The sequence below is a fragment of the Homo sapiens genome, chromosome 10 (genome assembly GCF_000001405.40).
Source record: "Homo sapiens chromosome 10, GRCh38.p14 Primary Assembly".
Taxonomy (NCBI): domain Eukaryota; kingdom Metazoa; phylum Chordata; class Mammalia; order Primates; family Hominidae; genus Homo; species Homo sapiens.
The window spans coordinates 129,841,146-129,855,853 of record NC_000010.11 but is presented as its reverse complement, the minus strand read 5'-3'; the positions used below and the strand labels follow the sequence as shown (position 1 = coordinate 129,855,853).

Here is a 14,708-nt window from a genome sequence, read left to right as displayed (position 1 = left end):
AGATTTCCTGTTTGGTTCTTAAGACCTCTCTCCTCCCTGCAAAAAGTCTCTGGGAGGCGTGGCAGCAGAGGGACACTTGATGTTCCTTTTTTAAAGAAAAGGATATAGCATTCAATCGCACACATCTTTTTATCATGTTGAGGGTGGCTTTTACTGGGTGGTGTCTCTTCCTTTTGTTTCCAGGCATTTCTCCCCTTAGGTTAAAACGTTAGAACAGCCTTCTTGGGGAGCTTGAGGGTTATAGGATACCTGGGGCCCACTTCCCGACCTCAGAACCTCCGCCTTGGGAAGTGCCTGTCTCCCCCAGTCCCGTCCCCAGAGGCGAAAGCCACGGAGAAGTGAGGAGGCCACGTGCCTTAGTTTTCCGAGCTGCAGGGCTGGACTGGGTAGATGTAGTTTCCACACGACTATAAAAGCCATCATCCAATGTATTCTTTGAGGTATGTAAACAGAATTGTTTGAATGCAATCCAATAGTTGTCAGCAAGGGTATTATTTTGGTACAAGGAAGATGAGCTGTCCCCTTTTCTGTGCCTGGTGTCACATCACAATGCCGCCATCCACTGCCAGGCAGTGGTGAATGGAAGCTGGTCCCTGTGCACGAGGCCCGGTTGGGCTGTCTGTGTGAATTCCAGAACAATATTCCCGATACGAAGGAGGCGGCTCTAATTCCAATTAGAAGTCAAGTGTTTTTCTCAACCTTAGAAGACTTTTCGACAGAAATACCCTGCAGTGAGCGGGTTGGGGGGATGCTGGAGTCACTGGTGTGAAACCCAGGGTGACCCTAGGCAGGTCTGAGCCATCCCCCGCTGGCACTGGGGAGCTCCACGGACGGGAGCGGCCAGGATGCTAGAAAAGCCACTGTCATTTCTGTGAGGGCAAACACAAGGTTTGCCTCTGGGTGTAGGAGGAGGGTGACCTGACGTCTTCCTGCCAGGCTGGGGAGCCAGGCCGGCCCCCGCGGGCAGCGCCCCTGGTGAACGACGCGGAGGCTGCAAGGCCTTTGTGCTTCCCGTGCACACCACAATGCCTGGCTCACCCTGCCGAGTGCTGTGATTGAAATTCATTGCCAAATTTATTGAGAAATTAATGAGAAAAGCTGCAAAGTATTGACTTTGAGAGGAAAACACAACTCATCTTGAATGAGGAGGAAAATGCAGCAATAATTTAGCCACTATTGATCTGGCCCTGTCCATGCATTGATCTTCATTTTACAATATTAATTTGCACCTGCAATCGGCTGCAGAGGGAACCGATTTCATTCCATGGCCGCGTTAATGTGCAAAGCATTAGGTGCTCTTAAGAAGCGGGGTATTACACGTCGTATCAGGAAGGCAGATTTTTTTTTTCTATTTTTGCTTGTTACTGAAATAGACTAAAAATTAATTTTTTTGTCGGACAAAATATGAAAGCAAAAACCCATCTAAAACGTAGCCCTCCTCTCAGCTGCCCTGGCCGCTTTTCATCCATGTGAGGAGCCATCAGCCGCCTGAAACTCCAGCTACCTCTCATCATCATGCCCGGATCAGTTCAAAGTTCATGAAATTTCTATGAGCATTGATCTCGCCCCATTGATTTTTTTTGCAGCAGATCTTTGAAATTTTAATTTCCCGAGCATCTGAATTTCTTATAGATGAAATGCACTTGGAGGAGACAGTTGATGATAAAGTGAAGAACTTAGCATCATTTTAAAGCCTAAAAAAGGGAGAAAAAGCAGGCATTTGCAGACTTTGTGTAATGTTTTTGAGGTGGAATGATGAAGGCGCTCTGGTGGGGGCAAGGTATTCAGGGGGGAGCTAAATATCAATTTTGTCTTCCGTGGCCACACATTTTTAATGCAACTTTTTATACAGTCATTTTTGAAAGAAAAGCTATCTGGAGAAACAGCAGGACAGAAAAACATTCTTCACCGCACAATCATTTGCTCACAGCAGTCTTTATCACCTGGTCAAGTTCACCTAGTTACTTATCAGTGGGACATTTAATAACCTCAAGGTGATATAATTGCTATTGGCATTTTTCCCCCTTGGATTCAGCTGGTTAATGTGTAAACTACTTGTCAGCAAATAGCACTTTGTCACTGAAATCACTAACACCCTCTAGAGGAATGTCTTTGTATTGAGCAATTTAATTTTACTTTATTTAATTTTTACACATTACAACCTGTGTTCATTCAGGCACACTGACGGCTTGCAGTCTGTTGGGGTAGGGTCTGGGTCTCCCTGTTAGTAAAATATACTATATCTTATTTAACAATCCCCATTGCCTTAATTGAGGCGCATTCTTGTCCCTCGGAAAAGGAACTGCAGATGTTCTTATTATGTAGTTATGTTGCTAATGTGAAAAACTGCCTCATTACGAGGATCTGTTTGTAGCTAGAAAATTACTGCGTTATGACAAATGCATGATTGGGAAGCTACAGGAAGATGATCATTATTGAAATGAAACTGGAACTCATTTAATAGCTGCAGCCAGCAGCTGGAATGAAGCAAATGAATGTCTTCCTGTTTTTATTGTTGGAGTCAGGTTTTTCAGGCAGGAAGAAAATTTGCGCTAAACCTAAAACTTCTTGTATCTCTCTCTGCGTGCTGGGCTTGGGCTTAAACAATGGAGAGGCAATGCTAAAAGCGTCTCACTTCCTACCTGCGAGTTCCCCCCTTGTGTGTTTAATGACACTATTTTAAAAACACAACTGTGGCTGGAAGAGCAATTACTCTAGGAGTACTTACAGGCGGCGCACACTGCTCGCTGGCTGGGCTGGTCTCCAGCTCTCCCGGGCAGGGGTGGTCAGGAGGTTGCCATCACAATTAAGCTCTTTCACCCTGTCCCCTCCTTCCTGCCACAGTCCAGTCCTGTTTGCAGGCAGGGAGCCTCCAGGCCTTGGGGGGACCTCAACGCCCTGGACTGCCAGAGTCCCTTGCAGCAGTTCCCTCTGCTCTCGGCTGCTGCTCACAGGATGCCCTTGGGGGTGGATTTCCCACAGCTGGTGGGGACCCACGACCAAGCCCCAGGCATGTAGTAGCTGCTTGATAAAATGTTTGGTGCAGGAACTGGATTTAAGATGGATGGTTCCACTACTCTTTGTAGAAAGTGCTCACTGGCCCCAAACGTGTATGTTTTCCAATCCGAATTTTTCTTTTTTTCTGTGTTATCAACCCAGAAGTACTGAACGTGTCCCCTTGCTTAATTTAATTGAATGACGTTTATAAGTTAACGGACTTGCTATTCAGGTCTAATAAAATAATCATATACATTTTGGGGTATTAGAGATCAACATGAACTCAGGGCGGGGCTGGCTGACAAAGAAGGTTAAGCCATCAAAATGAAAACTACAACCACGTATGTCACAAGAAAGAAAATCCCAGTGCCTCCTGCCCGCCGGTACGTCTCTAATTGCAGCAGGCCGGTTGGAGCTGCTCTGGCCCCAGCTGCAGCTCAGCGCCTGATGCCATTTCTGCTGCCACATTAGCTGCAGCAATCCCAAGTTGAACTGACATCACAGACCGTTAACATTGTATCAAGTGCGGTGTGATGAATCCCCCAGTACACGGGCATGACTTAAATATTTAGAATGCTTCTTCTGTTATGACTTAATGCATGTAAAGTAACGAGATTAACTCCAGTACACTCAAATATATTTAAATATGTATCCTTCCCGAGCTGTAGGCTATTCCAGCGTGCAGGAAGCATTGAGTCTATGTGGTCGTGTCAGGCTCTATTTGTATGACCCGCTCTGGATACTGGCCTGCATATGATAGCCGGATATCTGGCCTTTCACAGGCTGCCCGACTGCTTGCCTCATTTGGCATGGAATGTGATTCCCGGCTATTCTAGCTTCTGATTCATTCAGGTTTTATTGCTGTGTAATTTTCTTATTCTAAAATAAAAGCTCTCCAACAAAAATTACTATGCATTAGGCCGCGGTAGCCTACTCAAATGGATATTAATACAGTTTATCTCTAAAAGGACGAATAATGTATTTGAAACAGATAAAAGGCCCTCCACTAAATGAGGAATGTTAATATCTTATGGCACGGTTAATAAAGAGATATTTCACAGGGGAGATTTGTTTTATGACTTTTGATACAACAGCCTTGTAATCTGACATATCTTAAACGATATAATTTCACACATACATTCATCTCTTATACGCAGCAACCCATCGTAGCAAAATTTGAATTCAGGACAAATAATGGGCACTAATTACTTCTGGGGGGATTTCTTAGAAAACTCATCCTCTCAGATCCAGATATGTGGAATTCCATGCAGAAAGTTGGGAGCTTACAATACGTTTCTCAAAATTTTGAGAAACGTATTGTTTTTTTCCCCCTTCAGTAGAAAATAACATTTGTTTTTGTTGTGTTTAAGGCAGAGTTTAAATTAATTTAACCCAGTGACATGTGTTCGGAGACTAAGCATGCTGCTAAACAATTCCTGGGAATAAATTGCTCGGGAACCAAGTACATTAATTTACGGCTCTCCAGATGCTGACAGATGTGAGGGTGGGGGGAGGACCCACAAATATTAACATAAAACAAATTTGCTTTATTCTTCTTCATATTTCTTCTTCATCCCCGACTTGAGCTCACCCAAGGCTCCTTCTCTAATTATCCACGAGGTCAGTAAGCAAAATTGGGAAGAAGCTGGGAGATCAATACAAATTATCCCTGAGCAAACCAGTGCTGACAGTTTGAATTGCAGCATATGTTTACCCAAAATCAGGCAATTTATCTTAATATCAGCAAAGTAATGCAGCGCAGGTGAAAGGTCAGGCAATCTCTCCCCCTCATAATTACCCAGTTCTAAAACAGGAAAGTGGTATTGATTGGCCTGGCTCGGGGCTCTGTGACTGGACGTGCCAGCGCCTTGCCCTGGCTCGGCAGGGCTCTCGCCCGTAAACTCTGCGTGCGGAGGGCTCATGAGATGTGTGTGAGGCCCCGGTGCTTTCTCCTCCCGTCGGGGAACTTGCCAGTGATGGTGCAGGGCGGTGGTGGGTTCTGTAGGGTTTGGGGGGCTGTGGGCCAGAGGGGCCACCAGTTGGCCAGGCTTTGCAGAACCCAGGAGCTCTGTAGAAGGCAGGTGCTCTTGGGGGCACAGAGGTGGATTGGGAACCCCCACCTTCAGTGATCAGAAGCCTCCCAGAACCACGAATGCGTGTCATTCCTCCTGCAATTTAAAAAGAGAGGGGCAGTTTTTTCTAATTCTTGAACGTGAACTCACTGGGCTTCCAGTAGCCCAGCCCCTGGAAGGGATTTAGAGCTGGAATGGCAGCCCCAGCCCCTTGCCTCGGCCCGCATCCAGCCTGGCAGGAGCCCACAGTGCACAATTACGCCTCACATCCGAACTTCCAATGGAGTGCCGCGCTTATTCTTGGCATTGCTTTCAAGACATAAGTGCTCTTTGGGCTGAACTGAGAGGTGAAAGGGGCCCATGTACTTACCCTGCTTTCACATATTTTTGGGCATCAAAGAAGAATATCAATTCAACTGAAACATTGGAAAGCGTCTCTCCCAGAATGAGAGTGTATGGTTATTACAAGTCATAAAGCTTCTGAAAGCTTGCATTAAAGCGTCTATCACCTGTCAGGGGCATTTGCATGAAATCAATAATGGCCGCCCATCTATCTTTTCTGATCACCTTTCATCAGGCCGATTCATTAAGTCAAACAGTCATGGTGATTAGCTGGGGGAGAGGAGAAACCTGACACGTTAGAAATGCAGTGGGCCGCCTTTTTTGTTCCCTGTTCAGGAAAGGTAATACTTTATCTAATCCTTTTTGGACCAAGTCGCTTGGTGAGGCTGGGCGACTGCGCACGCGCCCCGCGGCCCGAACTATGCTTTTGCCTGACACTCTGGCCTGGGCCTAGGCAGAGACATGACAAATTGTCCCCCAAGTCAACGCTGACAGCTTCTGATGATTAATGGTCTGATTATGAAGTGGTTTTACACATATAGAATTTACATCACAGAGAGTTAGAAATTTTGCCATGTCACATACGCCGAGGCATTTTGAAGAGCTTTACTATTTGCAAAGAAAAAAGAGGGCAAAATCCCAGCAAAAGCCATGTCATGTAAAATCAATACATCGGATCAATGCTTTATTAACAAGAAAATGTCTTACTTCACATTCCTGTGCGGACCTTTATCTCCGGGATGTATGATGGAATGTCAAATCATATTGTGGTCCTCAACTTTCGGGCGCATTATTGAGTGTACGTGCGAGGCTTCCTGCGTTGCTTACAAGATGCGCCGACGCCCAAGCACTCGAGAACGGTGACCAATTATTTTGGAGAGCACTTGCAAAGGCGGCCCCCTAGCCGTCCTCTCCGGAAGCCGCAGTCTTTGTGTCCGCCCCCGCACCTTGCACACCTGCTGAGGTGGGGCGTGTTAATCATCAAATTACTAATGAGTGATGGCCCAAATTGCAGGCAGAGTAATGAATAGATGGTGGCAGGTCTTATTAGTCTCCGAAAAACCTCTGATTTATGTTGTGCCACGCACCGTGGAGTGACTCCACGGAAAACGCCATCTACATCAAGAAGTAATGTACTCCAATAAGTATTTTCATCTTAACTCGTGTCCCCGGGCCTCCAGGCTCAGTTTTTGTTGGAGTCAGGCAGAGCCATAATAAAGCCCGATGGCTCCTTATAAAGCTTGTTAAACACAGTGTGTGCAGTCGGACGGAGTCCCGGCCGTGATTCATGCACTGTACACAGCGCATGTGCCGCTGATTTATGGCCGCGCACAGTTCATAGTCAAAATTACAATTTGAGGGATAAAAAGATTAATTACTGTTTGTGGCCAGCAATTTCGTGAGGCTGGTGGATTGCAGCTGTAGAATGATAGTGCCCTACATCAGTTTGTAGGCAGCCATTCACAGATTATTAAAGCTTTGCAAGAATAAGTGCTCCTCCTGCCTGGTTTGTGCTCAGGCAATATGCTAGACAAAAAAGGACCACAGGGATAAATCTGAGGCTAGCAATAGCTGGACATATGTCATAATTGCCAGTTTCCCATAAATCCCTGGCCAGTGTGGAAGGCACCGTGTGATGCAGACATCACATCGTGATGGTGGTGATTGCTACATATGGCCCCAAGACCTGTAACTTTGTGACTGCACTACCATTTTTACAATATATTGAGTCACCCTTTGACTTTCTTCCAGTCTAATTATAGATCAGAAATAATCGTTGCTTTTATGTGCAAAAGAAAGGGGGAAAATCTATTCCTTAAGACACAGCTAGTATTCAGGGGTGCTTGCCTTAGAGAGCATCAGAGCAGGAGAACTACACATTTATTTGTAAGTGTGCAATAAACGAGTAATGGATGACATAAAAGTAATTAACCTGATCTACATTTCTGTGTCCTGTTGCAGCCCTTAATGAACCAACCATAGATTACGGCTTTCAGAGGTTGCAGAAAGTGATCCCAAGACATCCGGGTGATCCCGAAAGGTTACCCAAGGTTAGTAAAAGAGCAAGTGGCACCCCGCTCATGGTGGGGCCGCCACTGGGCTGGTTCTGGTTTGGGGGCAGCAGGTGCTCTGGGAAGGGGGGATTGCAGATTCCCCAAACTCTGTGCCCACCACAGGGCCGACAGGTGTGAGGAGCTGCCCGGGCCCGCACCTGACCAGCTTCAGAGGTGGGCGAAGGGTGAGAGAAGGCGTAGACGGCTCGAGTTTTACATCTCATCTCCAAAGGACCATCTTTTTAAGGGAAGCAAAGAACAGCTTTTCTGATAACAAATATTTTGGATTCTGTGAGGGGGACATAAACTTCCGCGTAATGAAATAGTTCAATTAAACATTTTCCACTCCAGTGGCCTGCTCTGATTTCCATCTAAGCAGCCCCAGTCTGATCTGTGATTACTTGACTCTTGTTTTCCTTTCATTTTCTAAAGCTCGATTCAGTTTAATCTTTTGTTTACAAAGCTTTTGTTATAAGTCCCTGACTTAGCAGGCTAACAAATGAAGTCCACATATTAATATCTAGAGGGACTTTCCATTTAAATTCAACAAAGACAAAAGCTGCCCGCGTTGTTTATGCACACGCCACATATCACAGAAATTCCATTTTGATGTATAACATTAAAGACAAGTCAAGCTTATAATTTTTCCTTTCCTTTGATATAATTTTGTCTCTTTCTCTCTTTAGAAGCCCTATCTGATTTCCAAGGCAGAGTTGAAAATGCAAAATGAAAAATGAAGTCATAACATTATGGCTGATTGTTTTACATTCCATCCCTGTGTGTACCAAGTCTTGACCACCTCTGAGTTTTATTAACACAATAAAACCTTTTAGACATTACCTTTTTAATGCTCAGCATGAACATAGGCGATGTCATTAGGCTGCTTTTTAATTTGTGAACATGCTAGCAACGGATGTCAGATATTCACTGTTAGGATCATCAGGGCTGGGGAAGATGTTTTTCAAATGCAGAGCAGTTCACGGAGGGGTTTTTGTTCCTGAGGGTGAGCCCAGGCAGAACGAGTGTTTCCCCGGGAAGAATCGAGGCCTGCAACATCCTTACCCAGAGGGCTTTGCTGCCAGCCTCCATCTAGGGCTGGCTTTGTGTGCAGGATTAGTGACTGGGTCCCGCCATCCCATAGACAGACCACATGCCTTGGCAGGCCCATGGAAGCACTGGGTTTGAGGCTGGGTGGCCCTCAGGGAAGACACCCCAGCAGCTGCGCTCTCGGGGGGTTCCCTGGTCACCTTCCCACTCCCCTCAGGTCCCTGCAGAACCCCACAGCACAGTCCTCCCCGCTGGCAGCTGGTGTTGGCGCCACAGGTGACCGCGTGCCTGCCAGGGCCCTCATTGGTGAGCACCCAGCCTCCTCCAAGCCACCTTCTTTCCCTGAGCCCCCAGGGCGGCTGGGGGCCTGGATGGGACCCCTGGGAAGCCTACCAGCCCTCCAGGGAAGGGCTTCTGCCTCCCCGGGGGACAGAAGACTTTCTCAGTTATGGGCATTTTTTCCCATAAGCCCTCCAGCAGGGTGACAGATCAGTTAGCCCACAGCCCACTGCCCCATATTACTTAGCTCTTTTAATTCAGGTGAAAACGTATTGTTCAGGCTTCACATAAAACGATCACTGAACGAGATGAAATCTAGCAGTTTCAATAAACAACATAAATATTTGATTTTGTTCTAATGGACCCAAATGTGGAGTTCAGCGGCATGTAAATTAAACTGCCAAGCGATTCATCATGGTTAAGCCAGCCATCTGAGGCTGCTTTACAAGGGTCAGAGTGGGTCCTAAGTAAAACAGCAATTGGCCTTAACATACATTTTGAATGAAAAAAGAAATGGAATAAAGAAAATCAGCCGTAAGTGTCACAAGCAGAGAGACAGAGAAAAAAGAATAGAAATGAGAGATGAGATTCCGCAGATGTAAAGCGTGTGTCTCAATAAGGCTTTGCCGAGGAGTGCTGCCCCCTCCTCGGCGTCACCCCGCAGTTGATAATATTACCACAATATTGATTTTTGCAGCAATTTTTTTGAAGCTCCGTAATGCACGTGGTTTGATGGGTAATTGTGGGGCGACAGAAAGCCAATACATTGCACACACATTGTTTTGGATGCACGCGAATAGTGTTGCTTCTGAGAGAGGGGGGTTGGCTTGAATTGAAGTTTACCTCCTAATTTTAGGCACCATCAAAAATGACCCATTTTATCCTGTGGGAGTGGCATAAATAGGCAAATGTTTTACACACACACACACACACACACACACACACACACACACAAAGCCCAGAATGAAAATAAAGGCAATATCAAGAGGCACTCATGTGGCAAAAATAGAGATTGGAAGGGAAGACGTCTCTAAGTGATCAGAGACTAAAGAATTCTCATTCTTTTTAAGCCTTATTTGAAACAATATAATCAAGGCTAAGACATGTTATAGTAAAAAAAAAAAAAAAATGAAAGCAGAAAAAACAAATTACATTTTATGCATGGAATTGTGCTCTAACAAATTATATTTATTATAAGGTGCATAGTCATAAAATGATTTTACCATAAAATTAATTGCATGCATTTCATCTGAGTTTTTTTTCTGTTTCATGCATCATACACAAATATATTCTGTTCTTTTTTTCTAATATACAAAAATTTATTAGGAATGCGGTCATGTTGAGCAATTACCCATGCATTAAAATTCATCTTCTTTTCCCCGCTTTTTGAAGTAGCTACATCTAATGGCTCTGCACTCTTCAATGTATTCATAACCCCAGGCAAGAACTAACAGAATAATTGCTTTACAGTTTTATAATGACATTAGCACCTGAAGCAACGTCACCTTGGTTACCTCTTTTAACTGTGATGATATATACCATTCTAGATCATCGGGCATGTGAATAATCATGTATATTCAAATCGCTGTCGACCACTGTACAAGAATGAATACTCATAATAATAAAACTGTACATTTGTCATGAAACAACGGCAGAAATCATTTGAGCTTTAATAGTTTCCATTTAACTTGAAGTCTGTTATGTCCTATTGAAAGGCAGCCAATTACACTTATGGTTGTGGCTAAGAAATTTCCATCGAAATGCTTTTCAAACACCATTCGGTGCTAATGTATTCACAGCATGAGGCAGTATGCATAAGCTCGGCATATTGTAACAAAACAAACTTGTTCAAAGCATCCTTGACTGATTGGGTTACCCGTTTTGTGTCTCTCTGATATGACAAGACCACCACTTAAGAGCAGCTCAGAAAGTCGGGTTCATTAGTTAAGACACTATCCAGTAATAGGCAGATTAGGATAAGAGCATACGTAATTTTCCTAAACTATCCTTATGTTCCAATTGCAAAGTACCATATGGACAAGTAGGTGTAGGATATTTTCTGGGAATGAAAAATAGCTTGTAAATGCAGCAATCTTAATTGCTTTAATCGTTGCTTAAAATTGAAAGGCATGTAAAAAGTCTTGCGATATGATAGGAGAGATTATGAGTAATTATTAATACCTCTGAAAAACACTTTATCTTGCTCACAGAGAGCTGCTCAGGCTAACGAAACCTGATTAAGACAGCTGGGCCTTTCATTGATTATACCTGCTTCATGACAAGTCTAATTCTTTATTTGTATGCAAACTAGATGCATGCAACATCAAGCGTCGGCACCAATTTCAGAGGTAAATGCCCATTGTCAGAGCCACCCATCCGGGAACTTTCTGGATTAAGTGCTGTTCCTGGGAACGTATGGCACGCACAAAAAGTGATGCCCGTAGTGATTAATCTTGATAAATAAAGGGTCCAGAGTCGGCATGTTGGGGGAGATGGGGAAACAATGAGGCGAGTGAGTCCTTGGAAGGCAGTCGTTGCCTTCTCAGATGTAACACAGATTTAACAGTGGAGTCATTACGGGCCTGCTTCCCACCAGCCGACTGCACTGTATTTGCATTAAGAGGTTCAGGCTGAAATCTGCTTATGTGAATCTGCAGAAATCATAAGCTGGTGTGTCTGTGAGGCACCACAGAGCTCTCTGGGAAGGCCACAGCCACAGGCCCAGGAGCGAAGGCCACCTGCCTTACTTTTTGTCCAGTCACCTTTGGGGTCTCAGGTTAACAAGAGGTGCCCAGATGTAGACACACCTCCACACCTAAAAGGTGGACCAGCAGAGCTCTCCTAGACCGCAGAGCTCTCCTAGACCGGGCCTGGGGTCCGCAGGAGGCCACTGTGCTCCAGCCACCCAGGGAATTTTTCTCTTCACCTCTGTGCTAGCACTGTCCTGGCTGAATGGAGTTGGAAAGAAACTCTCTGCCCGTCTTCCATGCTGGGGAGGGGTTTGGGCCTGGCCTCGGCTTATTAAAAAGCTCAGCTCCGTTTTATTACAGCTCAAGGTAGAGAAAGTTAAAACGTAAGCCCCCATTTGTATTTAAAATTAACTAAACTCTGGATTAATCCGCACAATCGTAAACTGGAGGTAGGCGTGCAGACGTGGATAAGACAAAACTCGGTGCATCCAAGCCCCCAGGCACAGCGCGCACACTCTCGGAATGTGAAGGCATTTATGAAGTCCTTTACAACATGCAGTCAAAGAGGTTAATTGAAAAATTTCTTAATGTCATTATGAAAGAACTAGATTAACCCAAGTTAATTCACTTTATTGTTCAAAATAAAGAGGAATAAGCACTGAACTCACTTGCAAATTTGGGGCGTGAATTAGGGGTGAGATGTTGTCTTTAAGGACTCTGCCAGTTTAATTAAGATATGGAAAATTACTTATTGTTCTTCACCACTAAAGTGCTAGGAATTAACAGGCAAATGTGGTGCCTGGGCCTTTCATATCTCCGCCATGTGTGTATTTGTTTAATACCCATAAGACTCCGTCATTAAACCTCAGGCACGGATTGGGCTCGTTCTCCGCCGGCCCTCCCGCTTGTCCGTGCACCTCTGTGAGCCCAACCGGATGGAGGAGCCACAGAAAACGCTTTTATTCAGCCTCCTTGTAAAGGCCACAAACAGTGTTGTCAGCACGCACGTGCCTTCCTGTCTGTGCCTGCCTTCGAAGTGCACGGCAGGGCCAGGACGGGTCGCTGTGGGTGGGGACTGGTCTCCACACCCGCAGACGGAACTGGTACTGAAGGGCAGTGATAACTGGCCGGTTCCTCCCATGAATCACCTCCTGTCTGCTCTTCCTTTAGGAGGTGTTACTGAAGCGGGCGGCGGACCTGGTGGAAGCCTTATACGGAATGCCTCACAACAACCAGGTAGGTGGAGGGCGGCTCCCCTCGCCCATCCTCCCCCCCATGCCAGAACCCGTGGGCAGCCGGCGTGGCTCCAGTGTGGGCTTTCTGGACATAAGCATGCTTTTCCAGCGACTCCACAGGAGTCTGATGTGAGAATGGCTTCCCATCCTTGCCCTCACGCTAGGTTCACGTAGAAATGATGAGTTGGTGTCAGGACCCAAAAGCAGAAAAAACTTGTCACAGCGGGAGTGCACAGCCTTGAAACCCATCTGCAGTGTGCAGTGGCGGGTGGACGGTGTTGGTGCCGCTGGGAACCAGGGAGGGCTGGATGGGCGCCCCACAGCATGCAGGACAGAACACAGCAAATGTTGCTCCCTTTTTTTTTTTTTTTTTTTAGACAGGGTCTTGCTCTGTCACCCAGGCTGGAGTGCAGTAGGGCAGTGTCGGTTCACTGCAACCTCCACCTCCCAGGTTCAAGCGATTCTCCTGCCTCAGGCTCCCGAGTAGCTGGGATTACAGGCGTTTGCCAACACACCCGGCTAATTTTTGTATTTTCATTAGAGATGGGATTTCGCCATGTTGGCCAGGCTGGTCTTGAACTCCTGACCTCAGATGATCCGCCTGCCTTGACCTCCCAAAATGCTGGGATTACAGGAGTGAGCCACCGTGCCCAGCCAGATATTGCACACTTTCAAAAGCGTCAGTAAATGATTTTCTAGGGGAAGCTCTTTGCCCATTAAGAAATAGATTTGGTCATGGTCTGGGCAAGGGACAGTGGGATGCCACCATGGTGGGCCCCCGAGAGTGCGGCCAGCTGGGCCGGGCCTGGGGTGACAGGCCGGCTCCCACTTGCTCCTGCTGCAGGAGATCATCTTGAAGCGAGCGGCGGACATCGCCGAGGCGCTGTACAGCGTTCCCCGCAATCACAACCAGATCCCCACCCTGGGCAACAACCCTGCACACACGGGCATGATGGGCGTCAACTCCTTCAGCAGCCAGCTAGCCGTCAACGTGTCAGAGACGTCACAAGCCAACGACCAAGGTATGCCAGCATGCTGGGAGGACCCCTGCCCTGAACGCCCTCCGAGGGTTGGTTGAGGCCTTAGCTGAAGAGGCACGTGTCCAGGGCCAGCTGGGGAATGTCCGTAGCGTTCTGTTCTCTCTGGCTCTGCTGGTTCCTTTGCTCAGGAAGACCTTGCTGCAGGTCCTCCCAGCCAGTGCTGGGGTAAGAACACTCAGAGAGCCCAGTTACTAAAAACGGCAGCTCCAATGGATGCCATGCGGGTCACTGGTATTTGCTAGAAGTTTCCCTCAATGTGTTCATAAGAGACTTTGCTTTCCTTGGAAGTCTGGGCTAAGCCATAGGATAGCCATGGCCTAGGGAGCTGAGGGGAGCCTGCTTGGACGCACTGCACGGCGGGATTTGGGTCTAAGTTTGGAACGAATCCATGGAGACAGACCCCCATTTCCCCACCCCGCACCCCATCCCACAGTGCAGTGTCCTGGGCCAGCCAAGGCCGCTGCATCTTGCCATTTGGGTCCATTTTAGTTTTCTTCATTGAAAAGCGCGCAGGCAGTGATCTTAGAAAACACCTCACCCATACTATTGCTGATTTTGTTCCCGTCCATCCACAAGCTCCCATGGCAGGAATGAAGCTTCCATGTCCCCCGAACGCCCCCATGTATAGAAATAACAACCATACAAATGAAGACCCCCAAACAGCCTTTCAGGGGAAGTTACGGCCACAAACAAGCTCTCCTTGTCAGTCATGGCATTTGAAGGTCTACAGAGGCCGAAAGTTCACAGAGCGTGGGGGGACAGACCAGGAATCCAAGCTGTTGATAATTGCCTCTAAAGAGAAACGTGAAAGCCACTGACGGCGAGATCGAAGCGCGCCCCGGCTGGCTGTTGAAGCCAGCAGAGACAGGATGGGGCTCACGGTGAGACAGTGGCAGCAGGGTTGGCGTGATAAGGTCATCCGAGCTGGCAGCAGGCGCTAGAGCAGGTGGAA

General features: G+C 46.7%; 1 protein-coding gene and 1 non-coding gene across 17 annotated transcripts in view; both read left to right on the top strand.

Annotated features, from left to right (window-relative positions):
• EBF3 (EBF transcription factor 3) overlaps positions 1 to 14,708 on the top strand; it is a 129,042-nt gene that overhangs the window by 108,421 nt on the left and 5,913 nt on the right. For all 16 annotated transcript variants that reach the window (XM_011539574.2, XM_047424961.1, NM_001375392.1 and 13 more), the window contains 3 exons: positions 7,374 to 7,462; positions 12,652 to 12,717; positions 13,561 to 13,738. In XM_011539574.2, coding sequence (XP_011537876.1) covers positions 7,374 to 7,462; positions 12,652 to 12,717; positions 13,561 to 13,738 — 333 coding nt within the window. The remainder of the gene's footprint in view (positions 1 to 7,373; positions 7,463 to 12,651; positions 12,718 to 13,560; positions 13,739 to 14,708) is intronic.
• On the top strand, positions 12,480 to 12,555 carry MIR4297 (microRNA 4297). Its single transcript, NR_036179.1, has one exon. It is a non-coding gene; the product is annotated as a microRNA 4297 (primary transcript).